The 27,490-nt window shown below is 52.1% G+C and overlaps 1 protein-coding gene across 15 annotated transcripts in view, besides 16 other annotated features; it reads right to left on the reverse strand.

Moving 5' to 3' along the window:
* Window positions 1–27,490, reverse strand: part of RANBP3 (RAN binding protein 3) — a 62,002-nt gene that overhangs the window by 21,649 nt on the left and 12,863 nt on the right. For 4 of the 15 annotated variants that reach the window (NM_001300865.2, NM_007320.3, XM_047439571.1 and 1 more), the window contains 3 exons: window positions 20,131–20,186; window positions 4,012–4,048; window positions 3,834–3,920 (listed from right to left, as the gene is read on the reverse strand). The exons of 2 other annotated variants lie outside the window; for them this stretch is intronic. In NM_001300865.2, coding sequence (NP_001287794.1) covers window positions 3,834–3,920; window positions 4,012–4,048; window positions 20,131–20,186 — 180 coding nt within the window. Of the gene's footprint in view, window positions 1–3,833; window positions 3,921–4,011; window positions 4,049–13,605; window positions 13,810–20,119; window positions 20,187–27,490 lie in introns of all 15 variants that reach the window. 9 more of the 15 variants (NM_003624.3, NM_007322.3, XM_047439573.1 and 6 more) reach the window with 4 other exon arrangements.
* Window positions 1,987–2,167: a silencer, noted in NCBI's record as "fragment chr19:5939785-5939965 (GRCh37/hg19 assembly coordinates)". NCBI's record gives its function as "represses an EF-1alpha promoter that drives an FKBP-Casp9 reporter gene in an ReSE screen in K562 erythroleukemia cells {active_cell/tissue: K562}" and the evidence as "EXISTENCE:reporter gene assay evidence [ECO:0000049][PMID:32094911]".
* Window positions 6,691–7,331: an enhancer, noted in NCBI's record as "H3K4me1 hESC enhancer chr19:5944489-5945129 (GRCh37/hg19 assembly coordinates)". NCBI's record gives its function as "activates a minimal SCP1, AML or CMV promoter by ChIP-STARR-seq in naive H9 embryonic stem cells {active_cell/tissue: H9 hESC(naive)}" and the evidence as "EXISTENCE:reporter gene assay evidence [ECO:0000049][PMID:30033119]".
* Window positions 14,381–14,940: an enhancer, noted in NCBI's record as "H3K27ac-H3K4me1 hESC enhancer chr19:5952179-5952738 (GRCh37/hg19 assembly coordinates)". NCBI's record gives its function as "activates a minimal SCP1, AML or CMV promoter by ChIP-STARR-seq in naive H9 embryonic stem cells {active_cell/tissue: H9 hESC(naive)}" and the evidence as "EXISTENCE:reporter gene assay evidence [ECO:0000049][PMID:30033119]".
* Window positions 14,941–15,499: an enhancer, noted in NCBI's record as "NANOG-H3K27ac-H3K4me1 hESC enhancer chr19:5952739-5953297 (GRCh37/hg19 assembly coordinates)". NCBI's record gives its function as "activates a minimal SCP1, AML or CMV promoter by ChIP-STARR-seq in naive H9 embryonic stem cells {active_cell/tissue: H9 hESC(naive)}" and the evidence as "EXISTENCE:reporter gene assay evidence [ECO:0000049][PMID:30033119]".
* Window positions 14,941–16,658: a biological region, named in NCBI's record as "CDK7 strongly-dependent group 2 enhancer GRCh37_chr19:5953075-5954274".
* Window positions 15,277–16,476: an enhancer, noted in NCBI's record as "CDK7 strongly-dependent group 2 enhancer chr19:5953075-5954274 (GRCh37/hg19 assembly coordinates)". NCBI's record gives its function as "activates an origin of replication core promoter dependent on BRD2, BRD4, P300/CBP, MED14 and CDK7 cofactors, with strong dependence on CDK7, by STARR-seq in HCT116 cells {active_cell/tissue: HCT116}" and the evidence as "EXISTENCE:reporter gene assay evidence [ECO:0000049][PMID:35650434]".
* Window positions 15,662–16,658: an enhancer, noted in NCBI's record as "H3K27ac-H3K4me1 hESC enhancer chr19:5953460-5954456 (GRCh37/hg19 assembly coordinates)". NCBI's record gives its function as "activates a minimal SCP1, AML or CMV promoter by ChIP-STARR-seq in naive H9 embryonic stem cells {active_cell/tissue: H9 hESC(naive)}" and the evidence as "EXISTENCE:reporter gene assay evidence [ECO:0000049][PMID:30033119]".
* Window positions 19,227–19,736: an enhancer, noted in NCBI's record as "H3K4me1 hESC enhancer chr19:5957025-5957534 (GRCh37/hg19 assembly coordinates)". NCBI's record gives its function as "activates a minimal SCP1, AML or CMV promoter by ChIP-STARR-seq in primed H9 embryonic stem cells {active_cell/tissue: H9 hESC(primed)}" and the evidence as "EXISTENCE:reporter gene assay evidence [ECO:0000049][PMID:30033119]".
* Window positions 20,364–21,012: an enhancer, noted in NCBI's record as "H3K27ac-H3K4me1 hESC enhancer chr19:5958162-5958810 (GRCh37/hg19 assembly coordinates)". NCBI's record gives its function as "activates a minimal SCP1, AML or CMV promoter by ChIP-STARR-seq in naive H9 embryonic stem cells {active_cell/tissue: H9 hESC(naive)}" and the evidence as "EXISTENCE:reporter gene assay evidence [ECO:0000049][PMID:30033119]".
* Window positions 21,662–22,310: an enhancer, noted in NCBI's record as "H3K4me1 hESC enhancer chr19:5959460-5960108 (GRCh37/hg19 assembly coordinates)". NCBI's record gives its function as "activates a minimal SCP1, AML or CMV promoter by ChIP-STARR-seq in naive H9 embryonic stem cells {active_cell/tissue: H9 hESC(naive)}" and the evidence as "EXISTENCE:reporter gene assay evidence [ECO:0000049][PMID:30033119]".
* Window positions 22,959–23,608: an enhancer, noted in NCBI's record as "H3K4me1 hESC enhancer chr19:5960757-5961406 (GRCh37/hg19 assembly coordinates)". NCBI's record gives its function as "activates a minimal SCP1, AML or CMV promoter by ChIP-STARR-seq in naive H9 embryonic stem cells {active_cell/tissue: H9 hESC(naive)}" and the evidence as "EXISTENCE:reporter gene assay evidence [ECO:0000049][PMID:30033119]".
* Window positions 24,092–24,311: an enhancer, noted in NCBI's record as "active region_13819". NCBI's record gives its function as "activates an Ori minimal core promoter by ATAC-STARR-seq in GM12878 lymphoblastoid cells {active_cell/tissue: GM12878}" and the evidence as "EXISTENCE:reporter gene assay evidence [ECO:0000049][PMID:35858748]".
* Window positions 24,582–24,631: a silencer, noted in NCBI's record as "silent region_9939". NCBI's record gives its function as "represses an Ori minimal core promoter by ATAC-STARR-seq in GM12878 lymphoblastoid cells {active_cell/tissue: GM12878}" and the evidence as "EXISTENCE:reporter gene assay evidence [ECO:0000049][PMID:35858748]".
* Window positions 24,906–25,553: an enhancer, noted in NCBI's record as "H3K27ac-H3K4me1 hESC enhancer chr19:5962704-5963351 (GRCh37/hg19 assembly coordinates)". NCBI's record gives its function as "activates a minimal SCP1, AML or CMV promoter by ChIP-STARR-seq in naive H9 embryonic stem cells {active_cell/tissue: H9 hESC(naive)}" and the evidence as "EXISTENCE:reporter gene assay evidence [ECO:0000049][PMID:30033119]".
* Window positions 25,687–26,238: an enhancer, noted in NCBI's record as "H3K27ac-H3K4me1 hESC enhancer chr19:5963485-5964036 (GRCh37/hg19 assembly coordinates)". NCBI's record gives its function as "activates a minimal SCP1, AML or CMV promoter by ChIP-STARR-seq in primed H9 embryonic stem cells {active_cell/tissue: H9 hESC(primed)}" and the evidence as "EXISTENCE:reporter gene assay evidence [ECO:0000049][PMID:30033119]".
* Window positions 26,239–26,789: an enhancer, noted in NCBI's record as "H3K27ac-H3K4me1 hESC enhancer chr19:5964037-5964587 (GRCh37/hg19 assembly coordinates)". NCBI's record gives its function as "activates a minimal SCP1, AML or CMV promoter by ChIP-STARR-seq in primed H9 embryonic stem cells {active_cell/tissue: H9 hESC(primed)}" and the evidence as "EXISTENCE:reporter gene assay evidence [ECO:0000049][PMID:30033119]".

Consider the following 27,490-nt stretch of genomic DNA (forward strand, 5'->3'; position numbering starts at 1 on the left):
AAGGTCTGTGGGGAGAGAGACAGGAGGGAGGCCGTTGCTCACAGACCTCAGAAGCGATCATGAGATTTGTAACAGAGCTCAGCAGCACAAATGGGTCCAGACACACGGCTTTAGTAACTGATCACCTAAAGCAGAACCTGCCTCACCGTGGCAGGCTCTGTGCCCCCATCCAGACCACCACCTGCTAAGCGACACCCCAGGAATAACCAACATCGTGCCCTTCCTGAGGACCCTGAAACACCAAGCCCCTCTGCAGGATGAGACCAGGTGGTCGGCTCAAAACAGTTTGCTTTTAGAGTCAAAATGCCTTGTTGAAACGGGGCCATCAACTCAATGCTGAGAGTTATAAGAACCCACCTCTTCCCTTGACACGGACATCACGCCAGCAGCTAACTTATCTCACAATGCTTTTGAAGTCGGCAATGAATTTATATATGGTAGGTTGGGTTACAGAATTCAGGTTGTTAAACTCGCTTGTTAAATCTTTTATGAGGAATTTCAGCCACGTGGGAGAAACTTTCAGGAAACCTTGGAGTTGGTTCTCCAGTGAAAGACCAAAAAGGCAGGCTCCATATTCTTCAGAAAGGGGGAGCGGCTTTCCTTAAAATTTTAAAGCTGGGGGCCAGACGTGGTGGCTCACGCCTGTAATCCTAGCACTTTGGGAGGCTGAGGCGGGAAGCTCGCTTGAGGTCAGGAGTTCGAGACCAGCCTGGCCAACACGGTGAAACCCTCGTCTCTACTAAAAATACAAAACATTAGCTGGGCATGGTGGCACATGCCTGTAATCCCAGCTACTTGGGAGGCTGAGGCAGGAGAATTGCTTGAACCCAGGAGGCAGAGGTTGCAGTGAGCCAAGATCGCCCCATTGCACTCCAGCCTGGGGGACAAGAGTGAAACTCCGTCTCCAAAACACACAAAAAGTTTTGAAGCTGTGATTAAACATATTTATCTAGGTAGGTCTGAGCAAAATTAATGTGAGAATGCACAAAAAAGAGGTCTAGAAATTCACCAACTTCACAGGCGTTACCTTTGGGATGGCAGGGTGAGTGGGGAAGGGGCAGGGATTCTTTTTAGTTGAAATATTTCTGATTTACTTTAAAGAAAAAACAATTATGGGCCAGGTGCGGTGGCTCATGCCTGTAATTCCAGTACTTTGGGAGGCCGAGACAGGTGCATCACCTGAGGTCAGGAGTTGGAGACCAGCCTGGCCAACAGGTGAAACCCTGTCTCTACTAAAAAAATACAAAATTACCCCGGCATTGTGGTGTGCGCCTGTAATCCCAGCTACTCGGGAAGCTGAGGCAGCAGAATCACTTGAACCCGGGAGGCGGAGGTTGCAGTGAGTTGAGATCACACCACTGCACTCCAGCCTGGGCAAAAAGAGTGAAAGTCTGTCTAAAAAACCAAAAAACCCCAATTATGAATGCATTACTTGTATAAAATTTTGAAAAATGAGTGATACATTTCTTCACAGGTTGTTTTTAGAGGACTTAGAGCTCCATGCAACCAGGCCCTGCTTGCAGAAACAAACATGAGGGCTTATGAAGCCTCATCTCACGCCAGATCCCCAGACTATGAGCTGAAGAGTTGGGGGAAAAATTTTAACAGCTGAAGAAGAACTGACTTTAAATGCCCGCTGAAGATCTGATTTTCCCACACCAATTGCTTTTCCTCCCAGGAGAACCCCCAGGCCGGGCGGGAAGGCAGAGGGGCCGGGGCTCACTTGGCTCTGAGTCGGAATTGCCTGCAGATGGCTCGCAGAAGCTTGATGGCATAAAAACATTGTTTTTTGAAACTGTTGACAAGGAGGTGCAGGCGGGGGAGGGAACAAGAGGAAAAACAGCATGAATGGGTGGGGTGGACGCTCAGAGATCACCTCTCCCACCTGAGGGGTGGATTCTCACGTCCCACGGGAGGAGACGGAACAGCACGCAAACAGGGCATTCAGTCTTTCCCGAGAACAGCAAACCCCAAGACTCTTTACAGCACTACGAGGGTCTCCAGCCCGACGGCCTTGATCTGTCTGATGACTACAGTCAACTCTGGTCAACTGGGGGCACCCCCTTGTCCCTGCACCTCTGCAGGGGCAGCCGGCAGGGGAGATATCAGATGCTCCAGGCCACATTGGAGGCCCTGACTCCTCCTCACCTGTCAAGGCTTGTCCATGGGGTTCCCCCTCCCCCACCTAAGATCTTCCTTCACCAGGGCAACTGCTTCCCAGGGTGTGGGCCAGCCAACAGGTTTCCACAAATGAAGTGGAATTCGTAGGGGAAGAACTCACTCTACGCAGAATGGAACCAAAGACAACACTGTTCAAATTATTGGTGCCCCTCACGCCTCCAGTTACCCTGGAGAGCTGAGTGTCTCTTGGGGGCTGCTGCGCTGGACGGGAGGTGATTTGAAGAGGGCCGGGGAGAAGAATGGTGGTCCCTCGCCTCTTTAGCCTACATTCACAGCCCAAACACCTCCTCTTCTCTATGCTGGTTTTCGATACAGCAAGCATGGTTCAGCAGTGGGCAGTGAGGGGGAAGGAATAAAATCAACGAGCAGGAAGTGGAGCTCCCTCATTCCACAGAACACCTATCCACAGGTGCAAAGATCCTTAAATTAAAAGGATGCCAACTGCAGCCTGGACTGCAAGCCATCTGGACAGTTCCGCAATATCCAGTCAGCAGATGACAGTGTAATAGCACTGGAAAACCTAATGCAGCTGTGCAAAAAGACGCGGCCATGTCCAAAACCAACGTGATGGGAAAAGGGCATGAAAACAAGGGTGTGGAGGGGTGACTTGGGAAGGACCCTGGCTTCCTACGCTGTGTGTTCCTGTAACGCATGCGTGACTTCTGTAAGCAGAAACAACTTGACATCCTGAAGGTTCAGGACTGTAAAATGATTTACATGAACTTTCCAGGAATGGATTTCAGTTGGGTAACCAGAGAACCTGTCTAAACACTCATGTATGTCCAAGTTGGCACTACAGACAGCTAAGACAGAGGCCACGAGACAATGCCAGAGTGGGAAGTCAAGACGGGGACGAGAGAATAGCCCTGCAGTGGCATTTACCCTCAAATCTGCAGAGTTGTGCCCATGGCAGGAGGCCGGGCTTTCTGAGTGTTATATTAAGTAGTGCTGACGGCATTATCTGCCTCAGGAACCTCTCTCCTGTACCAGCCTGCATGAGTCCCCAGGCCGACCTCCAGGCCTGTGCTCAGACCAGGCCTCACGTCCAGGGCCTTCAAGCCCTTTAGCCTGCCCTGCTCCACAGTCCGAGCCTGGCCCACCCTTCCAGGCCCCCGCAAGCTCCTCTCCTCTGGGAGTTCACAGCATCACACACGGGCCTCTGCTGGGGCCTCCTGGCTTGCTGGTTACCGTGTGTGTGTGCATGCTTGTGTGTACATGCGTGTGTGTGTCTGGGCTACTGCACTGGACTGCCCGTGCTGGGCATGCAGCTGAGGGGTTGGGAGAACACCCCACCCCTAAACCCCCAGTCTGTGTCCAGCCTTGGAAAGAGGAGATGTAATTAACAGGCAGAGGCCCCAACAGGGCTCTCAGTAGTCAACCCCTTTCCTCCATTTCAGAGGGACGATCTCTTCACAGTCTTCCTCAGGCCACCAAGTCTCACCATGCCGTCAGTGTCACTGATTCGAGACGAGGACCCCTGATGCTGCACTCTGGACAAGCTCTCACCTCACTCCTGACAGAGCCCGAGCCTCAGATCGACTCTAACCGGAGCTGGGCAGGAAGGACACAGCAGACGGATGCGCGGCACTGAGGGGAATGGCGGGTTTGTAAGCATAAACGCTTTCACCATTCCGTAAGTTTGCATATTTTACCTGACTGTGAGGGTGGGAACTGGGTTAAAGAGGATGTTCTTTCTCGCTTGACAGGAGGGCAGTAATTTCCATCTTCTCTGTCAGAATCTACAGAAAATGATGAGAAGAGGAGGAGAAAAATCAGGTTGCTTCTGTCTTTAAAACTGAAGATGGTCAAAGGTGTTAGAGAGCTCCTTACCTTCTCCGCCTTCAGGACTGGAGCCGCCAGCTGACCTCTGAAACAAGGAGCACACAGCCGGGGTCAGAGGGCATCAGGCTCACGGCAGCCGAGCAACTCTCGGGGCCGTAACAAATATCCCAACATGCACCACGGGCAGCTAGTTCCCAGAGCCCAGCACCCGAATGAGAGCCAGGATTTTAGCCTAAAGCTCAAACATCCCCCCGATGAACCTCTGCACCCAGCTTCACAAACACATGCCAAGGAATCCTCTCAGTGGCTGGGAAAGCATCCGCAGCACCCAGATCAGTTTCTTGTTTCTCCACAGGTTACGCTAACTGGCCTGCCACCCCTAAACTCAAACACAGCCGAACCTCATCTGGCCCCCGTTCATTCTGCCAAGAGCTGAAAAGCGACCCTCTCCACCCTTGAGGGCAGCGGACTTGTGTAAAATGGTCACATCACACCGGATAGGAGCGATTTCCCTTCCTTGCCCTGGAACATTCTACCATGCACATGCTTGTCTCAGGGTCGGCTGTTATTCCCAGAGCAAGCAAGAGCTTGGATGTTTTGGACCAAAGCCCACTTGCGAAGTGTTTAGAACAGAACCATCAAAGACAAAGCCCAGTCACAGGCTGAGGGAAGGCTCCTGAAGAATTCCCTATTCCACAAACTTTAGCTTTAGAGTGTGAACAACCAGCAACCAAGACTTAAAATGGGCTCATGACCAGCCTGACCAACATGGTGAAACCCTGTCTCCACTAAAAATACAAAAAAAAGTAGCTGGGCGTGGTGGTGCACGCCTGTAATCTCAGCTACAGGCTGAGGCACAAGAATCGCTTGAGCCCGGTAGGCGGAGCTTGCAGTGAGCCGAGATCACACCACTGCACTCCAGCCTGGGCGACACAGCGAGACTCTGTCTCAAAAAAAAAAAAAAAAAAAACAAAAGGACTTAAAATGGACTGGGTGCAGTGGCTCATGCCTGTAATCCCAGCACTTTGGGAAGCTGAGGCAGAAGGATCGCTTGAGCCCAGGAGTTTGAGACCAGCCTGGGAAACATGGTGAGACTCTGTCTTTATAAAAAACCCAACCACATAAAAATCAGCTGGGCAGGGGGGTGAATGCCTGTAGCCCCAGCTCCCAGGGAGGCTGAGGCAGGAGGATCACCTGAGCCCGGGGTCTGAGGCTGCAGTGAGCTATGACCATGCCACTGCACCCCAGCCTGAAGGACACATCTCATCTCAAAACACAAACAAACTCAAAACTTAACATGAGGAGTGTTTATCCTCTCCCCCAACACAATCCCTCATTTATGTCCTGTCTCAGAATTTAGCAGCCCAAAGCGCACCGATGAGTGAGGGCCGCTCCTCCTGGCGCGCTCCCTGCAAGAGCAAGCAGAAAAGCCAATTTTCTTATTTTCTAAAATGCTCCTCAGAGGTCAAGTTTAGCCAAATGAGGCCCGCCTGCCTCGACGAGCTGCTGGGGCTTAGGGGAGGTGATGCATGTGAAAGTGCTTTGCAAACTGCAGAGTGGCCTGGGAAAGCAAACTGCAATAAATAAAACTGAGGAGCACAGGAGCCAAGGCAGACCCCCCTCAAGTCAGGGCGATGCATTTTCCCATAAAGGGCCAGACTGTCGGTACTGCTGGCTTTGTGGGCCACATTTGGTCTCTGTCATATATTCTTGTTTTTGCTTTTATAATCCTTTAAAAATGTAAACATCATCTTAGCTTACAGGCCCAGGCCTGGAGCTTGTGGCAGTGAGAGCCCAGAGAAGGTAGGAAGTTGACTTGAAGTCACATAGCTCGTTCACGACGGTCAGAAAAAAAGCTACCCTGGACTTTCTCCTCCCGTGTGAGCTGACAACATGGGTTTGTGTGGGAAAAGCAAGCCTGGGCTTCTTGCTTGAGGCCCGTGTTCTGAGGGGGCTTTGGAAATGCTCCCAAGGGACTGTACGAGTGAGGGCTGATTATCACTATCCCCACGAGATGACATCATCAAAGTGTGTGGGAAACACAAAATCCTTGTAACACAACAGTGGGTTCTATTAGTCACTGGGGCAATTGTGAAAATACCACTGAGTCCAAAACGCAATGCCATCAAGCAGCCAGGCCCTAGAGTCAGTACCAACTCCGGCCAGGCCAAAAGCACGAGGGGTGCAGAGGCTGCCTGGTCCCTGCTGCCTCTTGAAGGCCGGAAGAACTCAGTGTATTCCGGCTCTGCCATTTTCTACGGGTGAAACCTTACCTTGCCCAGCCTTCGGTCTCCTCACCTGGAAAACAGGGATGCGTGAGGTGACAGGCAGGGCAGGTAAGGTGCTCAGCCCAGTGCCCTGCACGCTGGGAGCAGATGATTATAATGCTCGTGACCCACACCTGATGAGATCAAACTCCCAACCGATGTAAAATCTGGAGGCTACGCTGGGGGCAGGGCTTTAGAGCTCAAGGCAGGCATGAATAGGGAGTCAGGGGTGTGGAGTGAGTCCTGGGTGCAGCCAGGAGGCGAGGGACCTGGACTGGGAACCTTTCTAGAAATGCCAGAGCCTGGGGTTGCATCTGATAGTGCTGAGCTGTCACCACCTTGTCATCCCTTTTCTTGGGTGACATCTGTGGGGTGGGTACAGGCTCCAGCTATCGCTTGCCCTCATACTTAGCAAAGGTGACAGAAGTACAGAGAAGCAGCATCTGCCCACCCGGGCAGCCAAAACCTTTGCTCATCCAGCCAAGCCTGGGCATCTCATGCCTGGGGCAGCTACTGCCCTCGACGGGCCCTTACATCAGCCTCCCAGCACAGGCAGCTGTGAGAAACAACACCTGACACAGCCTCCTTGCCCTCTGGGTAACCCATGCCCTCCAGAGCCCTGTAGGCTGGCTTTGGCCTCCAAATGCTCTGTGCAGGTCACTGTCTGAGGCCAGCAGCCTCTGCACAGCCCGATCTCCTCGGACACCGCACTGCTCGCCTCACCTCTGGCTTCCCTGGCCTCACCAGTCCTCCCATCCATTCCTAACAGCAGGCCCAGGACATCCCCACCCCCAAGTCCCATCCTGTGGCTCTAGACTTTTCTCTCCCCTTTTAATCCAACGAGCCTTTCAACTGTACCAAAACCCTTACACGGTGTCCTCCCTGGTCCTGGGGGATCTGTCCCTTCCTAAATGACTTCTGGGACCAGGAGATGGCCATACCCTCTCTGGCCTCTGTAGACGACCTGCTCTCTCATCCAGTGACGCCCTCCTTTTCCCTCAAGCGAGAATGAACCCCTTGGTGAGGTGACCTCCAGGCCCCTTATACTCTTTCTCTGTGGCTTATTCTGATCCTGGGAGTTGTGTCAGGGACTCCACTAGACTTAGGAAGGAACTGGACCTCACAGTAGAAGCCCGTTTAGCATTTGTTCAACAAAAGACACTGCATCCCAGGCCCCTTGCAGGCCACGGAGAAGCCGAAGACCTGAGTCCGGCCTTACAGAAGGAACTGGTCCCCGAGCTCCCTCGTGTCTCCTCACCCCTGCACGGGATGTTTCTCCTGACATCTCCACACCTAACTCTCTGGCTCAGTGGTTATCTAGGTTAATTTCCACATGTGTCAATTTCCTAGTTTCCGTTTTTGATTTCCAATTTTATCTCCTTGTGGTTGGAGCACATACTCCATATTTTGATCCTTTAAAATTTGAGATGTGTTTGGTGACCTAACAAATGGCCCCCCATGGAGAATTTTCCATGTGCACTTGAGAAGGCTGTGTACCCCACTGTTTGGGTGGGGTGACCTATATGTCTGTTAGGTCTGCTTGGTTTTTGTGTTGCTGAAGTCCTGTTTCCTTACTGATCTTGTCTAGATGTTCTATCCATTACTCAAAGTGTGGTACCGAAGCCTCCAACTCTTACGGTTGACTCGACTATTTCTCCCTTCAGTTCTGTCCGTTTTTGCTTTGCGTATTTTGGGGGCTCTTTTGACGATACCCATGCCTCTCAGGGATCATGGATGCCATGGATGCTCTCCCCAGAGCAGCATGTCCAGGTCAAGAGTGTGGCTCCGGGGCTCCCAACAGTCTCTTGGGGTCTACTCGTGGCTCTAGAAGCAGCCCCGGGAACACTGTGGTGCCCCCAGGCATTCTGCACTCATCCTCCCCTTCACCCACCACCTCCAACCTGCCAGCAAGTCCCATTAGCTCTAGCCCCCCGAGAACGTACCTTTCCCTCCTGCCTCGGTGGCCTCCTCAGGCACAGGGTCCCCTCTGCCACCAGGCTCTGGCCATGTGGCCTCCTGTTTTCTGAACATGTTGGCTGCTCCTGCCTCACTGAGTGTTGCTCCTCCGTGGGCGCCCTCCCTCCAGGTCCCTGCGTGTCTGAGATGCTGTGAGCACCACCTCTAGGGTAAGTTCATGCTCACTCCCTATCCCAGCCCCTCTCGGGAGCTACCCTGTTTTGTTCTATCACATAGGGAAATGATCTCAGAGGTGTCTCCTACAACACAGTTCATTCACGCGACACCCGGGACACCTGCACAGAAGGCACTTGCTGAGGACTTGCTGCGTGGGTGGAGTCCGTGTCCTCCACCATGTCCCCTTCAGTGACCTTGAGAAGAATGGGTGCCTAGGCAGACAAGATTCAGATGCTGCCTGACCCCTGATCTCAGGAGACCCTCAAATCCGTGCCCCAAATATCTTCTAAGAGCCTGCCTGCAACAAAGTGGGGGGCCTCTTGGTCCTGGAAAGGCTGGGAAGCCAAGGCTTGGGAAGAACAACACAGGAAGATTCGACAGGGGAACCTCCTGCCAGCAACTCTCCACTAAGACCCAGCGGAGGGAAGCAAGAAGACAGAACGCGTGCCTGTGGACAGAGCTCTTCTAGAATCCTAACCCGCTGGCCACGTGAGGTGCCGCCTGCCCTCTGCCCCAATCCAGGCCTCCACACCCTGCACCTTGCTGGGATGGAGGGCCTCTCCTCTCAGGAGACGTTGGAACTTGCTGTCCAGCTGGCTTGTGCTGCCTTCTCCAAAGCAGGAAATGGTTTGGGGTGAAGGAACCTTTAAGCCACCCAGCCCTGCACACAGCCAATGCCAGCTCCACATTTTCCATTTCCTAGACTCAGCAGCCCAGGAGTCTGGACCTGTTTGGTGTCAAGGCAGTCTGGGGCCACCCCTCACCCCAAACAAGGCAGTGGGTCCTCAGGGGTTGGTCCCGAACAATGCCTGGGACACACTCAGGGTCAGCCCCCAGAGGTCTGCAACCAGAGCTCAGGAGGATTTTAAGAGCAAGCTCCAGGCCGGGCACGGTGGCTCATGCCTGTAATCCCAGCACTTTGGGAGGCCTGGGCGGGTGGATCACCTGAGGTCAGGGGTTCGAGACCAGCCTGGCCAACATGGAGAAACCCCGTCTCTACTAAAAATACAAAAATTAGCCAGGCATGGTGGTGCATGCCTGTAATCCCAGCTACTCGGGAGGCTGAGTCAGGAGAATCGCTTGAACCCAGGAGGTGGAGCTTGCAGTGAGCCCAGATGGCGCCACTGCTCTTCAGCCTGGGCAACAGAGGGAGACTCTGTCTCAAAAAAAAAAAAAAAGAAAGAAAAGAAAAGAAAAAAGAAAGAAACAAAAACAAAAAGAGCAAGCTCCGAAGACTCGAGCTTAGTGGGGAGGAGCGAGGACAGAAGCAGGACATAAGAGCCCCATTTCCTCCTCCTCCTCCACTTTTCCCAAACTAGACTCTACTGCTGCGAGGCGCAGGGCTTCAGGATGACACCGGGGAATGCTGGGTCAGCATCCATTTCAACACCATGATGACAACATCCCAGAGTAATAATAAGGAAGCAGAAGAGAAAGAAGACCAGAGGGCCCTTTGACTTGTCTCTCTGGCACTGGGACAGCAGGAGTGAACAGAGCAGGCTCAGAAAAGATGAAGCAGCCCTCCCGCGGCTTGGGCTGCAGGCTGGTCGGGAGCGAGCACTGTGAGTGCTGATCATGTGCCCCACGTCCCTGCCGGCGGGGTGGGGGCTGGTGGCGCAACAAGCTCCCCACCGGCAGCCATAGGGAGCTTGTGGGAAGTAACTCAATTCTGTGAGGCGCATGAGTCCCTGTCACTAAATACAAGACAGAGGGGCACATCCCATCTGGAATGGGAATGCAGGGGTGGGAAGCTTGTTCTTTGCCTAAGGAATGAAACAGTGAAAATCATGGTTGTCACATTTATTAAGAATTGCCCTGTCCAAAAAACATGGGTCTTGTCAGACTGTCTGGTGTGTCCTCGGTGCCAAGGCGGCCCAGGGAAAGGGACAAAGCTTTCAGAAGCCGACTCCACAGACACAAAGACGAACAAGGAAGAAGCAGGAAGGAATGGCACTGTTTACCTGGTCCCCTAGGAAAGGCCAGAAAGCAAGGCCATGTCAGATAAATTCCCTCTAGATGGCTGGGCGTGGTGGCTCACGCCTGTAATCCCAGCACTTTGGGAGGCCGAGGTCGGCGGATCACAAGGTCAGGAGATTGAGACCATCCTGGCTAACACGGTGAAACCCTGTCACTACCAAAAATACAAAAAAAATTAGCTGGGCATGGTGGCGGGCGCCTGCAGTCCCAGCTACTCAGGAGGCTGAGGCAGGAGAACGGCGTGAACCCCAGGAGGCGGAGCTTGCAGTGAGCAGAGATCGGGCCACTGCACTCCAGCCTGGGCGACAGAGCGAGACTCCATGTCAAAAAAAAAAAAAAAAGATAAATTCCCCCTAGAAAACTGGCAACCAAGCGGTGTACCAGGGCCTCAGTGAGTCTGGCAAGTTAGAAAACCTGGCTGGTCATGGCTGGATACCTGGGATACAAAATAAATGATGGGCCAGTTCAATGCTTTTTATTCTGTGGCAGAGGCAACCAGCTCAGAAATTCTTGTCAAAAGGGCAGGCCCTGAGAAAAGCAAGTGAGAGGTGGCTTCCAAAGTTGAGGGGTGCTGAGGGTCAAATCCTGTGCAGGGGCTGGAAGGTGGGGGGAAGCTGTCTGGCCAGAGGGATTCATTCCAGAACCTCCTTAAGCTCCCTGGTGGGTCTAATAAACATATCTGAAGCTCGGCAGGTCCTTGGCAGGGAGCTTCAGTCCAGTACAATTCCACCAGGCTCGCAGTGAGTGCCCAGAGCTGCCTGCTTTCTCCACATCAAACAGAGAACTTAATCGGGATGTGGTTTGGTCTTCTTCAGACTGTCTTCTGAAAGCCAGGAAGTCTGATATATAGAGACTTTTTCCTGGTACTGACTCTTCCATGGCCAGGGTTCTGACGAGACTAAAAGATGGTAAGGGCCCTTTACAAGTAACAATTCAGCGCACCACTGTTTATCATCAAGAACTCTCAGCTTTATATTCCCCCCAGGGACCATGGAATAAAGTGAACAGACTAGATGTGACGGATGAGACCTGCCGGGTAACATGGGGGTGGTTTCCTGAACACCAGTGTGATACAGAGTGAGACCCAAATTTCTTCTGATGCAAACGAAAACGGTCTGAGTTCACACACACGAAAAAGGCTCAGGCCAAGAAGCAGTTGGCATCGGGTTCCATCTGACTTGATCTATGGCCTAACTAACCTAAAATAAAGTTTACTTTGCTCTGAGCAGGCCCGATTAGTAGAGAAAGCCAATTAACAGGAGCCCTTAGCAACCAGTCAGGGTGTTCTCTGCAGACAGCCTGAGGGAAGAGCCCTGGTCAGCTCAGAGCTGTCACAAGGGGCTTGACAATGGCTCTCCTGGGGCTCCTGAAAGTGGGTGTCCAAAAGTTACGAGTGCTAAAACTACAAGGTGCATGTTATGCACATGGCCACCAGAGCTACATTGGAACATTTACATACTGCTCTATGCAGCCTCCAATCCTGGCTCTCCCACGGTGCCCACAAGCTCATCCCAAGGCTCCCTGCCATACAGCTTCACCTTCCACCTGCCAGTGTGGGGGACTGCTTGAATTTCTCAGGATCAGAGCCTCAGACCCAAAGTCCATGAGAATCAGGATGCTGAGATCTACCTGGGCTGGCCAGGCCAAAGAGATGAACATGTGGACGAGGTGAGGCCCCTCCAGACACTCCAACATGGGCCTCTGTGAGAAGTACGCAGGGCACAGAACAGCGCGTGTGCTCTTGAAGAGCACCTGCTGTCACAAAAACTCTGTGATGCACTTGTTTGCTACTCTCATTCTAGAACCTGTCACCTCTGCAGCTGGAGAGTCCTATGTGGGCTGCATTTTTCAAACCCAGGCACCTGCAGAAGGCCTCTGGGGGGGACCCTAAAGACCATCTGTTCCCAGACAGCTGAAGACGGAAACCTGAGAACACCATTTCCTGTGCTCTCAAAGACCAGAGGTGCAGTAACTCACCATACCTGACTCAGGAGAAGTTTCCGGCAGCCACTCTGCCAACAAAAGAAGGACGCAGCCACCTCCTAATTCTTGCTCTGGCGGCAGTCACGTGCGCTCATGGGAGGGCTGTACTCCCAGTGCACTGTGGGTCAAGTGCCTCCTGGCTGGACTCCTTCCCGCGGCTCCCGTGTCTCACTACCCCAAACCCACTTTTGTGCCACGAAGGCCACTACTGCCGTTACCTCCCCCACACCCATAGCCTATGGCACAAGTAAAGACTGTTGCTTCTTTTTCCATCACACACTGACTCCTCCAAAATGTTAACACAGGACTCCAACCCACCCCTGGCTGAACAGTGCTTCCTAAGTGTCCTGAGGTTTGGTGGCTGTAGCTGAATGTTAACAGTTTCCTTAAAAACCGGGGACTGTTGTGTGCTAGAAAGAACGCTGAGGTCCGGGATAAGGTTTGGGACCGTACCAGCCTGGAAGGCTGCCTGGTGCTCAGGCGGTAGAGCTGGGTCCCTTCTTTTCTTGTTAAGAGTCCTTTTTCCCTGTCCTGAGAATAGGGGTCTTCTGTCATGAGTTACCTACAGGATGGAGTTTTCAATCCTGAATGTAGGATAATGTTTACCTTTCCCAATTTATCAAACTTCAAAAACCCAAGACATTTCTTGTTCTTGAGAGTTCACAATCTTCTCCACCTATAATCTTCAAAAGGCTTCTTAATACAAAGATAAAGGGCTCAGGGGATTCCTTCTGGGTTCAAAGGAAGAGTCTTTTCTTCTTCCTGCTTTGATTGAAGACAATCAGTTCACTGCCTTAACCACAGTCCAAACACAATCAGTCTTGCAAAGCAATCTGTGTTGGAGAGTGCCTCTTCCTAGATATCAAAGGAAGCCTTAGCTTCTTGGGTTTCTAAGACGCTAAACTTGAATGCCCGCATTCAGGGAAACAAGAAGGAAAAATGGAAGGAGGGTGAAGGGGTCAAATTAGGTTTGGAAGGTTCTACTTCACATGACTCAATTCCTCCTGACCCCTCGTGTCTTTTTTGGGAAACAGGATTCACCTCTTGCTGTGGGTATATATTCCCACGGCAATTTAGAAAAGGCTAAAAGGGGATTCGATCTTCCCTGACTTTTCAGCAGCATGAATTAAAGCGAGCTGGAAGAAATCCTTGTCATCTTTTAAGTTACCATTAGCTGCTTACAATTAGCTAGGGCCAGGATCTGAGGGACCCGAAGGGAAAGTGGCTGGTCTGGGTTGGGCTCCCCCTGGGCGGTAGGAGTGCCGGGTAGGTGTGGACTTACCCCTGCCAGTTCTCGCGGAAAAGGAGGAAGCTGGGCTTCAGGAGCGGGAGGCGGAGGAGTGCTGGCTGAGGCGCCAGCAGGGGCAGGAGGTTCTAGGGCATGCTCGCCAGCTGACTCGGGGTGACCCGTGCCATGGTGGGGGGCCTCAGCCTCCCCCCGAGGCTCCTCTCCCGAATCCGACAAGTTTTTTTGCTCTGCAGGGGACTGGGAGCAAAAAAGACAATTTTCCTTCAATGTGAATAAAGGCTGCATCACACAGCAGGAAGGGCGGGCAGGGGTCAGAGGCTGGAGCTGGCTCAGCTTGCAGCAGCTCCTGCGCCTGGGAGGAAGATGGGGAGAGCAGGCACCTGCTTCTGGGTTCTGCTCAACAAAACCGGCTCTCCGGCTGACGGAAGGGAAGTGAGAGTGGACTAGGTGCCATGTGACTTTGCAGGGAGCTCTACAGTGTATGAGAAGCAGGACCCTCGTTTCCAAAACTATGGGCTGCCTGGCAAGGAGCTACTTGGCTTACGGGCCTTGGTGATCAAGGGACAGGGACGATCATGCAAAATATTAAAACCCCTTCAGGATCTCAAAAATACTGAAGTGGGGGAGCTGGCCATCAGCACCATTTCTGTGCTTTAGGAAAGAGGGAGGTGGCTGGAACCCCAAAGTTAGGGAGAAACCAGGGAGGCCAGGGTCAAGGGCTTCTGCCTCTCGCCGGGGTCAAGGGCTTCTGCCTCTCACTACAGTTCTTCTAGCACTTTCCATTTGTTCTGCTTACACCCAGGATCCAGAAAGTGCTTTCCCACCTCGGTGAGTGCAAGTGTGGGGTGACATGGACACTGAGAGCTGGTTTTTGCATCAGTGGCAGGCGGGTAGTTCAGATGAAGGAGGGGGGCAAATCCACAGAGCCCCTCAGCCTAGGATTCTCCCAGGTGCATCCTCAACACCCCAGGCAAGGGCTCATTTGGAAAGCTGCCAAGGTGAGAGCAGCCGGTTCCAGAAGTCTTCCTCCCCACAGTACAACACCCAGCATCCTTTAAGGTGGTTCCTGGGACTCCAGCAGGGCTTCCATGGGCTGAGAGCTCTGTGGCCGTAACTCCAAGACTTTTCTTGAGAAATGGGTTAAACACCTGGTGTCCTAAAACAGACTCCAGTCCCCAAACCTCCCTCTTGGCATCGTCCAACGACATGGAGCCATTTCTCGCACTCGGTGACCTACATGACTACAGGGCTGCCCCGTCTCCCCGTGGACGTGGCTGTGCTTCTTCTTGGGTGTGAAGTGGCTGACCTCTTTAGACGGGGTTTGGGCACTACTTAAAAAGCAGTGATCCGGGAGGAGGAAAGGAGCTACAGAAAGAGGATGTAAGAGAATGTACACAAATTCCTAGGAAAGCAAAAGCAATCTTCACTCAAAAGTAATCAAGGGGACACTGTCGCCTCTTCGTATCCAGGGCAGAGCCACGGACCAGCCGCTCTCTAAACCTGGCTCTCTAAACCTGCACAGGGCACCGTGGTTCGTCCAGCCACCCATGTCTGTTGCTACTTGATGGTGAGAGACTTAACACCTCACAAGAGAAAAATTAAACCCAGAGCTCTGTGGGGGACTGCCTATCTCTAATTAGAACCACTTGAATTTTTTGTAATCCCTGCTTTTGAAATGTAAATATTCAAACATCCTCATGGTAATTCAAAATGCTAAACAGGAGGACCAAGAAGTAAGTCATAAACATGGAAACCAAGACATCAAAACAGGATCAAATTCGTCATCTTTGGTTAAGATGAATGATTTGTATAAGTGTTGAGAAGTATTACATCACTTCCTCTCTCAGATGGGAGAATTAACAATGTCATTCCAGCATTTTCTACTCAGGTCCTAGCATTTCTCCTGGGCAGGAATCGTAAGCTCTAAAGAACTAAGGTGAAGCCTGGAGTTTTTCAACATGTCTGGTAAAATCAGACATCAAGAGTTTGCCAGCCTTTGACCTCATCCTAAAATACACATGGCTGGCAAAAACCACGTGCACCAGGGCTAAGCTCATCACACCAACGGTAAGCCTCAAAAGCAGGTCTAAACACCCTACGACCACATTTTCAGTGATACTGTACTTTCTGCTAAATAGCATTTCTGTAACTGCCTTCTTTTTACCAAATGGCCATTATTCTGCTAGTACAACCTCAAAGCCTCCCCACTTCAGATTAACAAATGCTCTGGAGAGAGAGCAACTGAAAGAAATGTTTAGTCTTTACAAAGAATGGAACAGCCTACATAAGGATATTTAAATTCTCTTCACATTAAAAAGAAAAAGAAAGAACTCTATCTCCATCCAAGGCAGTTAAGAAAGAAAGGTTTCATTTTTGCCCCGGAAACAATGGTGCATGTAAACGCAGGCGTTTCGATGAGACAGCACGCCCCTCCCCAGGAAGCGCAGGCATGGGAAGGGAGTAACATCCCTGTGCTGCCAATCTGACCATGGCTTCGTTTTAGGCCCTAGGACTACAATTAAAACCACACATGGCTTTTTCTATCCTGGAACGATAGGATTTGGCAACCTCACCCAAGGCTAAGTGATGCCACCGGCACCCACACGCAGGCCACGGTCCCAATCCGTAGTGTGCTGAAGTGCAATCTGACACATCAACGGGACCCACAGAAAACCGCTGTGTGGCTTTGCCACTGAACAAAAACAAAAAATTCCTCGGCTGGCAGCTTCATGTCTTTCTTTTCAACTCCAAATCATGCTGAATCATGATTCAGCAATAAAACCTGAGCATAAAGAGCTGTCTCCTTTGAATGGCGTGAGAGGGATGGTGGAGACGAAGGGGCTCTTTTACTTGCACCCCATCGGGTGTGGTCTGAGATCTCGTTTACTGAAAGGTAAGTCAGCTGGTCCCACAGTTGATGAGACTTCTTGATCTTTGAGGATCAAGAAGTTGTTAAAGTCACTATAAGTGACATCTGAGGGGCAATTAGGACAATTTAAAACATGGACTATATACTGGAGGATATTACTGAATTAACATTTTCGTAGGAGTAACATGGTGGTAAGGCCATGCAGGAGAATGGCCTCATCCCTATGAGACACCCGTGGAAGAATTTAGGGCAGAAATGTCACATGGGCTTAACTTCCGGTATGAGAGGTGAGGGCAGCAATGCTAACAGAGAGGGCAGGGGCAGGATACCCAAGTGTTTGCAGTGTCACTCTTTTCCAAGGATTTGAAAATTTTCAGAATAAAATGTTGAAGCAAAAAGGGTGGGGCGGGGGGAACCTCCTCGGAAAAACAATGGCAGCAGCTCTAAAAGCTCGGTCCCAGCTCGGCTTCTGGAGAGCAAGACAGGGATGGGTTGATGGCCTCCGCAAGAGAGAATGAAACCATAAAGGCTCTCAAACCCTCACTTCTGACACACACTGCAGCTGCTCCCTGCAGGCCCTGAACCAGAAAGCCAAGGAGAAACAAAGCCAGCCGCCCGCCCTGTGTGTTTACTTTCCACCTCACTCCCCAGTGGCAGAAAGGACTCTAGGGCCATGTGGACACTGTCCTCCGACAGCGAAGCAAACACGCTCCTCCTGCTCCTGGCCTCAGCACAGAGGTTTCCCACATGCCTCTTCAGCGACGGTGCCACAGAAGTGCGAGTGACAGAAGTGGGCAGCCCAACTCCCAAGGCTGGAGGGCAGTTATTTTTAGAAGTCCATTTAGAATTGGCTGTGAGCCAATATTTTGATAAGAACTATACTTGGCATTTTATTTTTAATTTTTATTTTTAATTTTTTTTGAGATGGAGTCTCACTCTGTCGCCCAGGCTGGAGTGCAGTGGTGCGATCTCAGCTCACTGTAACCTCCAGTCCCGGGTTCAAGCGATTCTCCTGCCTCAGCCTCCTGAGTAGCTGGGATTACAGGCATCTGCCACCACAGTAGAGATGGGGTTTCACCATGTTGGTCAGGCTGGTTGAACTCCTGACCTTGTGATCTGCCCACCTCGGCCTCCCAAAGTGCTGGGATTACAGGTGTGAGCCACCGTGTCTGGCCTACTTGCATTTTTAAAAATGCCTTCCTGGCTAGCCTTCTGGTTCAACTCCAACATGTTTATGTAATTGGCATAGACCCCTTGAAGGTCATACATGCAAATTAGCCTGCAAATCACAAAGCAACAAAACCCCCTCAGCTGTGAAAACAGTACTGACACAGCAGCTAGTGACTTTAAAAGCACTTTAAATTCATCTGAGCAAATATTACACATTACTGTTCCATCTTGCTGGTTGCCTTAAAGTCTTCAGATTTAAAGAATTACTGATTCCTATTGTTTGTTTTAAACCAGGGGTTGGCAAACTGTTTTCTGCAAAGGGTCAGATACTAAATATCTTAAGGCTCTGCAAGCCACACGGTCTCTGTCCAAATACTACTGCTGTAGCAGCCACAGGCAACCGCAAAGGGGATAGTTGTGGCTCTGTTCTTGTTGGCTCATGCCCACAATCCCAGCACTTTGGGAGGCTGAGGCAGGAGAAATGATTAAAGCCATAAGTTCGAGACCAGCTTGGGCAACACAGCAAGACACCATCTCTAAAAAAAATTTTTTTTTTTCAAATTAGCCAGGTGTGGTGGTGGTGCCTGTAGTCCCAGCTACTCAGAAGGCTGAGGCGGGAGATTGCTTGAAGCCAGGAGTTCAAGACTGCAGTGAATTATGATCACGATCCTGCACTCCAGCCTAGGCCAAAGAGTGAGGCTCCGTCTCTCAAAGATAAAAACATAAACAAATAAAACAACAGCAAAAAACAAAACAAAAAAACACAGGTGGCAGTGCTGTGCCTTAATTTGCTAACCTTTGTTTTAAACTAAAAATGGTTCAAAAGATAATAAAATGCAAAATTCTAGAAAATCCTGATTTTACTGAACACCTGAGGAATGACTATAACATCTCCAACATAGCTCTAACACACCCAACTCCTGAGGCTTCACTATTCTCTAAAACTAGAGAAATGCACCAGTCCTTTCGTACTGATGGAACCTCCAAAAGACAAATCATAAAGCCACGTCATTAAGCTGTACTTGTCAGGGCCCAAGGGAGAGGAGATAGCAGAGGCAGATTTATCTTGGAAATACCTGGAGAACCAAAACAAAACTAGAAGAAAGTTTTCATGTTTCTGGATTGCTTCTTCAGCAAAAAAAGTAACAATGGGAAAGTTTCATGAGTTAAAGTTACAAGCTTAGTAGATAAGTCCAGGCTAACACACAGGTATCCTGGGAGGGGTGTGCTGGGGGAGGTTTAGAACAACCATTTTCCCCTCCTCCCCAACCCCTACAAACACACACACCCGATCCCCACAGAGCACTTCAACATTGCTCAGGAAAACCGGGCCACATCAAGATAAATGCTGGCTTTGGGACAGGACCTAAGACCAGCAGCTGAGTCCCAGATCATGAGAGCGGCTTCCAGCCTGGGAGCCGGTCACCTGTGAGGGGACAGAAGCCACAGGAGAATGGAGTTGATGAGATTCTCAAATCCTGTTATTACCAACAAGATGCAGACATCCTCAAAATGCACCGAATTCAGCACAACACTTGGTCACTCTAAAATGTTGCAGCGGGTATGAGGTGGGGAGTGCCGCCGCTGGGCATCAGTGGGACTGCTGCAGCGGGTATGAGGTGGGGAGTGCCGCCGCTGGGCATCAGTGGGACTGTTGCAGCGGGTATGAGGTGGGGAGTGCCGTCGCTGGGCATCAGTGGGGAGGGACCACACATTATTTCTGGATAAACAGTGAGGGTCCCCATGCAAGCTGAGGAGTCACTGCCACACAGCACCAACTAACTTCTGACAAAACTCTGACCATCCACACCGATCTGTCAGGGAGAGAAGCCGATGGCTTCAAGGTAAATAGCACCCATCGTTGTCTTATCACAGAACCCTGTTGCCACACCAATCAGACCTTCCACAGGCTGCCAGCTCATCGCCATGAATCAGGCGAGGTACTTCCAACCACACTGCGACCCAGACACCCTGAATCCAAGGGAGAAGCAGCCTCATGGACACGGGATAAATATATAATGCAAACAAATGAACAATTACTCTAAATGCACGTACGCCCAGCTCGTTAGGGCCAATAAATCCAGGCTTAAAGGTCTTGTTTCCCCTGTAACCACCATTGCTCTCCTCCTTCCCCTCCCTCCCTCCCTCCCTGACTCCCTCCCCACCTTCCCTCCTCCCTTTGCCCCCTACTGTCCCTCTGCTGTTGGTTTTCCTAAGGTACAGTGGCATTTCTCAAACAAATCATCAGGAATTAGGAAGAAGCTTTCTAATACCGTTTCAACAAACTGTACTCTCTGAGCCCTTTCCACAACAGACCCATCCTAACCTCTCTCCACGGTAACCTAAAGCCACCAAGCCTTTTCCCTCCAAGCTCAACGTGAAAGTGTAAAGGCCTCTGCTTAGGTCTCCCCGTCTGTGGGCAGAAGTGGCCTTGGCAATGCGACCTGGAAAAGAGACTCTCAGTAAAGAGAGAACAAATTAGAGTAACGAAGTGAAGAGAGAACGTACCGGCCCCTTACCTTTTGTCCTTTATCCTTCTGAAACACAAAGACGGGCGGAGCAATGGCAGGCTTTTCTGCAAAAAGAAAAATTAGTTTTTTTCCCCCCAACACTATATGCATACAGTAAACAAAGCTACACTTGTTTGTAATATGTTAAACATATATATAAATGAAACTAGTAACTCCAGAGAACATCAAATCACTTAGAACAGCGTCTTGACTCGGATGCCTGGAGGCACAGGTGTGCTGGGTTTGTGAAATGCACCCAGAATGATGTGACGTGTGCCCTCTGCTGTATGCATTTATCATCAATAAGGAGTTTTCAAGACTCACTGAGAGCGGGCGTGTAAATGGGAGTGGGAGAGCAGCGGAGAGTGTGGCAGCGCTATTTGGCGCCATGAACTGTGACCTTGCAGGAATGTGGCACCTCCTGAATTGCAAATGTTAGAGACTAATTTAGCTTTTTAAAGTTTACAGGCCAGAGGGCAAAAAAAAGGGCCACCGCTCGCGCTGTTTGCAGACAGTTCTGGTAGAAGAATCCTAACGCTCAACCTGGATCTCTAAGTGAGTGCTGGTTGGGAGGAAAGGATGTCTGGAGTTGCTAGAGGCCTGAGAGTCCATCTTGCACAGCGGCTGAAGGAAGAAACACTCTGGGGTGTTCTGTCACTTGATGGGACAAGAGCAAGGCGGCCTGTAATGCCCACGCAACACCATCTGTCTCCTACCCAGGGGCAGCCAGATCCACAGCCCTGTGCCACTCAGCCCCGGAGTGGGTGGCAGCCCAGGAGGCCCTGCTGCCCGCACAGGAAGCACAGATGAGGACTGCCTCGACCCCACGAGGAGGCGCAGACCACACCTGCCTCATGGCCTTGGGCCTGCATGCACTTTGATGAACTCTGGGGGTGCTCCCAGGGCCTCTTTCACCATTCAGGGCACTGAGGGCCTAGCGTGGAGGCCAAGCAAGAGCAGCTGTGACTCTGGTGAATGCCTGCTGTGGGCTGCGGGCTGCGCACTGGTGCCTCCGCGTTGAGCAGGGTTTGGGAAGAGCCCTGCCTTCGCAGGCCCCCCGACCCCGGTCGTGGGGAGCCAGGCATTACCCAGGAAGCATGTGCTGCCCATGATCACGACGAAGGCACTCTGCTTGGGCATTGACCTGGTCTGCTCTGGAGTCCAGGGGAGGTCCCTGAGAAGAGGGGGCTGTGCTGGGGTCTCAAGAAGAGCTGGAAGGGAGAGCAGCAGCAGCTTGAAGTCACAGCTTGCGGGGTGATGGGGCCAGGGGCAGGCGGTGGGCATGCTGACTTGCTGGGGAAATGTCATAAAAGGCAAGGGGATGCCTGGGGTTGGTTTAGGTTGAAAGCAAACAGTTTGGGGAAGGGAGTGAGAGTGGCTGTGGGGAGACCAGGTGGGTAGTGACTGAGGTGGAGAGAAAGGGACAGCACCAAGATGACCAAACAGACACCATCCCACTCCTGCAGACGCAGGACAGACTCTGGTCTTGACCTTGGGGCATCAGTCCACAGCCAGGCAGCCCACTGATGGTGACATTCCCCCCACCATGCTCCCCGAAGCCTCGGCACACCAGGGTCTGATTCACCGTGTACAGCCAAGGCAAACACTGGAGTGAGTGGCGTGCGCGAGACCCAGGGGCTACAAGGGAGCAGGGGAGGTCAGAGGGGTCTCCAACCAGACTTCCAGGTTTCCCTAAGCAGACTTCTTGCCAACACAGCACACAGGTGCTGCTTGACAAACGTGAATGAATGCACCTATGCCAGGCAATAAATGATGTCAAAGGAATGCTGGGGGACTCTGGGACAGAGCAGCAGCGTATCCACACCATGTGTGCCACCAGGATCCTAGAGGTCTTCCGGTGCCACGCCTGTACCCCACAAGCCCAGCCCTGACCTCTGCATTTGCCTCCCTGCCAGCTGCCAGGTGACAAGATGCACAGGAAGGAGCCAGGGTTTGAGCCAGCTTGGCACTCTCCAACCCCATTTTCTTTAGGGAGCTACCCACCCCTCGTCCCCCTGTCCCCCAGTTCAGATGGAGCCAAGCTCAGCCCCAGCTCCAGGCCTGACAAGAAGAGTCCCGCATGCATCGTCTAACACATGGCACATGAACAAGGCCAGGCCTTTCGCTGGAGATCCTGGGGCTGCTGAGCTGCTGGTGAATGACCCTGAGGCTGCCAGCAATCCCATGTCACCGAGAGGGGCCTTGGACCAGAGCCAACCAGAGGTAGCAGAGTCACAGAGGGAGGGGGAAGACTAAATCTGGCCTGTGTTCGGCCCTGAGTCAAGCTTGGCCCAAAGCTAACTCTGCCCCCAGACTTTTCAGTGAAGCCAATCAGTGCTGATTTTTGCTTAAGCCAGTTTGAGCTCGATTTCTGCCCCTTGTCGCTAACAGACTCTGGCCTGAGAGAGGCGCGGTCCAGCCACTGCAGACTGAATTACACACATGCTGCACTCCAGCATCTGTGGAAGAGACCTTGGACAGGCCTCAAAGTGACGCTAAGATGCTTTCTTTCTCTTCACAGCAAGTGTCACTGCCTGATCCACTCCATATTGATGGGTTTATGGTCTGTCTCACCCATTAAGATATAAACTCCATAAGATCCGAGACTGCTTTGTTCCCCTGGGTACCCCATGGCCTGAGAACAGTACTTGGCACACTTTATGGATTCAACAAACACTTCATGAAGGGGGAGGGAAGGAGGACATTAGTGAAAATGTGAGGCGAAGACACTTGGTGCCAGGCTAGTAAGGAAGGGCTAGAAGAGAGAGAACCATTTGGATGGGAGAGGAGTGCGCGCTGGTGTTGAGAACCGTGTCGGTGGATCTGCAGGTGCACGGAAGGGACTGCAGCTATTTGAGTAACTATGGGAGGCCTGGGCAGGCTGTGGTGCCAAGGTGCTGCCCGGAGCCTTCTGGACACACGGCAGGGCTGAGGGGCATGGGCCAGGAGAGGGCCCCTCTGATGGAGCAACCCTGTCCTGTGCCTGGACATGTGACCCAGCTGGAGACAGAGGGAGGCTATGGAAGGGGACGTGAGGGTCAAGCTCTGAAAGGAGCCACCCAGAGAACAGAAAGCCAGGGTGGAGTCCAATCAGATCCTCCACAATTGCCTCCCATCTCTTGTTCCTGTACCCACCCCTGCCACCATTCAGCCCTCCTTTCCTTCTCTGCCTCTACTCTCACTCCCTTAGATCTGGCCTCCACAGAGCAGCCAGAAGCACTATCATGAAACACACACTTAAAACTGCAGTGTTGGCCGGGCGCGGTGGCTCACACCTGTAATCCCAGCACTTTGGGAGGCCGAGGTGGGGGGATCACGAGGTCAGGAGATTGAGACCATCCTGGCTAACACGGTGAAACCCTGTCTCTACTAAAAATACAAAAAATTAGCCGGGCGTGGTGGCAGGTGCCTTTAGTCCCAGCAACTCGGGAGGCTGAGCTTGCAGTGAGCCAAGGTTGCGCCACTGCACTCCAGCCTGGGTGACAGAGCGAGATTCCATCTCAAAACAAAACAAAACAAAACAAAACAAAAACTGCAGTGTCGGCCGGGCACAGTGGCTCATGCCTGTAATCCCAGCATTTTGGGAGGCCGAGGCGGGAGGATCACCTGAGGTCGGGAGTTCGAGACCAGCCTGATCAACATGGAGAAACCCCTTCTCTACTAAAAATACAAAAACTGAGCCAGGCGTGGTGGCGCAACCTGTAAGCCCAGCTACTCAAGAGGCTGAGGCAGGAGAATCACTTGAACCTGGGACGCAGAGGTTGCAGTGAGCTGAGATGGTGCCATTGCACTCCAGCCTGGGCAACAAGAGTGAAACTCTGTCTCAAAACAAAACAAAACAAAACAAAACAAAACAAAACTGCAGTGTCTCCCACAGACTAGAGGCTGAGCACCTTGAGACAGGCCACATCCAGCCACTCACCCTCCACCTCCCACTGTGGTGGCACTGAAAAGCCCGCTGTCGCTGCACGTCCCACACTTAGGGTGCACTTCTGGACTTCTGCTTGGTTTAGTCCCACTACCAAGAGCGCGTGGTTCCCCTTGTTTTCCATGGCCAGTGCTTACTCCTGCACAGACACCATCTCCTTCAGGAAGCTCCCACTGTGAGAGGCGTGCCTGCCCTGCTGCACTCCCTCCCGAGCAGGCCTTATATCCTGCCACGGGGCACGCGGAGACCACGGCCACAGCAGCTGAAACAGCCTATCACCCAGCGTACACCGCATCAACACCCTGCAATGAGTGTTTGAACTAGGCCCTCTCTCTGTCATTCATCTACACAACACCAGCTGCTACGTACTCACAAATATTTACTAAGCCCTCATTCTGTGCAGGGCGCCACAGGAAGAGTGGAGAACAGGAAGCTGAGGGCAGACGCTTCAGGAGAAAACATCTGACTGAAAGGGAGGGGCGTGTTTGCACTTGGTGACCAGGCACTGTGGAGCCCTGGCACTCCCAGAGGGGTGTGTGGTGACAGCATCTACCCCTAGATGTAAGTTCTAGAAAGTGGGGCCTCGTCTGTTCCGTTTCTCTCTGTATTCTCAGTGCCAAACACAGAGCCTCACACTTAACAGGCACTCAACCGGCAGTTAGAGGGTGAATGAAATGTCACACGCCGCAAGGACAAGGACCCAGGGAGCCATGGTCAGGGCTCTCCAGAGGAACGGAACCAAGAGGATACAGCAATAGGAGATGAACTTGGCCCATCTCGGCCCATTGGGACCCCTGCTGATGGCAGGTCTGGCATTCATGACTGACCCAGCCACTGCACTAACATGTAGAAATGAGCTTTAGTCACATCTGCACCCAAAACACAGAGCGTCAGTTACTCACGCTGCATTTCTACTCAGGCCAAAGGTTGATCAACTGCAAATCAGCACGGCTATCGCAAACAGACAAGACACACAAGCCCCATTCCAGGCAGGACCGCCCCACTGCCCCCGACCACCAGACACACGGGTTGCTGTTCGTAGCCATTCCCTATCACCAGGCTGATTCTGGCTATACCAGTGAGGAAGCAGCGTGTGAACACCGCTACCTCCAACTCAAGTTTGGGGAATGGACAGGCGGCCAGAAGTAGGGAGGCTTCAACAACCTGCTTCAATTCCTAGCCCAGCTTTTCTTTCACAGGTCAAGGGAAGATCACCACTGCAGATTTCTAGAGACCCACCATGAAGACCTTTAATATTAAAATAGGAGTCAAATGCAGACTATTTGACCCAGAATCTGTCAACCAAGTGGTTGGGTTTTTTGTTTTTGTTTTTGGTCCTGTAACATGCTCCCTGTTGAAACCTAGTTTGTAAAAAATGCAGTCTGTCTGGAGATTGACTTTACACATCCGTATATTAAGAGATTAGAAAACCAATACGAGGCACAGTGGCTCATGTTTGTAATCCCAGCACTTGGGAGGGTGACGAGGGAGGATCACTTGAGCCCAGGAGTTGAAGACCTGTCTGGGCAACATAATGAGACCCTATTTCTACAAAAAACAAACAAATAGCCAGGCATGGTGGCGCACTCCTGTAGTCCCAGCTACTTGGGAGGCCGAGGTGGGAGGACTGCTTGAGCCCAGGAGTTAGAGGCTGCAGTGAGCCATGATCGTGCCACTGCACTCCAGGCTGGGTGACAGAGTGAGACCTTGTCTCAAAAACAGAGAGAAAGGAAAGAAACTCATTTGACCAGACGCTTCTCAAAGTTATTTGACTAGGGAGTCCCCCCCATTTCCAGGGACATCCACAATGAGGCCTGAGAATGACGTTTCAAGGACCACTGTGGACAACACTGGTGTGTGAAGCGGGGGAGATTCTGAGCCCCTCTTCCTTGGACACAAGTCACCTCAAACAATGTGTGAAGTGCTCTGGCCCACCACATACTTCTTCTCTGGCCTCACCATGGCCTTCAGGGGCACTGTGCACCAAGTCCCACATGGCTGCTGCTGAATTCAGAACCCTCGTCCCATCTAGCATCCTCTACCCTGCGAACCTCCTCAGCTCACATGCCCAGACAGCACCCAGCCTGAGCCCAACAATTGTGATCCTGTGATGATCACAGACCCAGGCCAGGGAGAGTCCCCTGCTGCCCCCTGGTACCCCAGGAAAACAGCAAGGGAAGATGGCCTGGCCAGAAACTGAAAGGAGTGAGCCCCTGCTGGCATCCGGGCCCACGGTGCTGGCTCTCCCTCCCATCCCCTGCTACCCTCAACCCACTTGTGAGGCTCCGATGCAAAATGGGACCAGCTGGGATTCCCCAGGACAGGGCCGGTGTCCTGGTCCTGGTCTTTGCAGCCCCAGCGATGAGCACAGACAGGCTAAGAAGCAAGCCAGCCCCAGCACAGGAAGCTTGGCCATCTCTGCTCTCCTTTCCAACTTCTGCCAGATGTTGGGAACCCCTTAGACCTGCTTGGCCTGCCCCCCCACCTCCACCCAGTCATCCTCACGTGGCTATGGCTGTCAGGGTGCTCTGTCCCACCTAGTTGAGCCTGGGAACCACTCTGCCAGCTGCACAGAGGATGAAAAGATTCAATCCTAATATTCCCTCAGCAATTCCACACATCCCAGCACCCACTGTGCACTAAGCACTGCGTCGGCCTCTGGAGACACGTCCCTGTCTGTCTAGAGCACCCATCACACCTTATCTGAACATATGACACAGGGGAGGCACAGCAGGCCCTGGGAACATAGAGCTGGGGCTTCCAACCCAGTGAGGCTGTGAAGGGAGTGAATCAGGGAATGCTGCTGGGAGAGGGGCTGTCTGGACAGAAGGACAAGCAGCATTTGGCCACATGACCGGGAAGCACACGGCAGCAGAGTGAGGAGTGCTGGAGGAACCAGGTCAGGGTGGCACATGCAGTGGGCCTAGTACTGTGCTAATGCTTGGGACACGCCTTGGGGACAGACTGGAAAACAGGGCAGCCTGGGGGAAGAGGAGCTAAGTGGAGGTGGTAGGGTGGGGGGGGGGGTGGCACGGTGGGGGGTCACCTCCGCCCTTCCCTGGGGTCTGAGGTCTGCACATTTATACCTGCATGTGTCAGTGTAGAAGCTCCTAGGAAGGAAACTCCAATCAAATTGAAGCAGTTCCTATGACAGCTTTTTTGAGGAAAGAGCCAAAGATCTCTGCGATGAAGGTGGGGATCCTGGTGGAAGGGGGTCTCTTCCCCTGGTGGGATACAGGCTTCCTCCTGACCCTAGAGGAACTGTTCTCCTTGCAGGGGGCAGTAGGTCTCTGAGGAGGTGGGGGGCTTGAGGAGGTGGGCCCTTCCTCTAAAGCAGAAATGACCAATCTGGGACCCAGGTGGCTTGGGGGTGTGTGTGCGAAGTCCATAAAACCCTCACCCTGAACCCTGATGAAGTCACCTCTGTAATTTGGTGGACAG

Source organism: Homo sapiens, chromosome 19 (genome assembly GCF_000001405.40).
Source record: "Homo sapiens chromosome 19, GRCh38.p14 Primary Assembly".
NCBI lineage: Eukaryota > Metazoa > Chordata > Mammalia > Primates > Hominidae > Homo > Homo sapiens.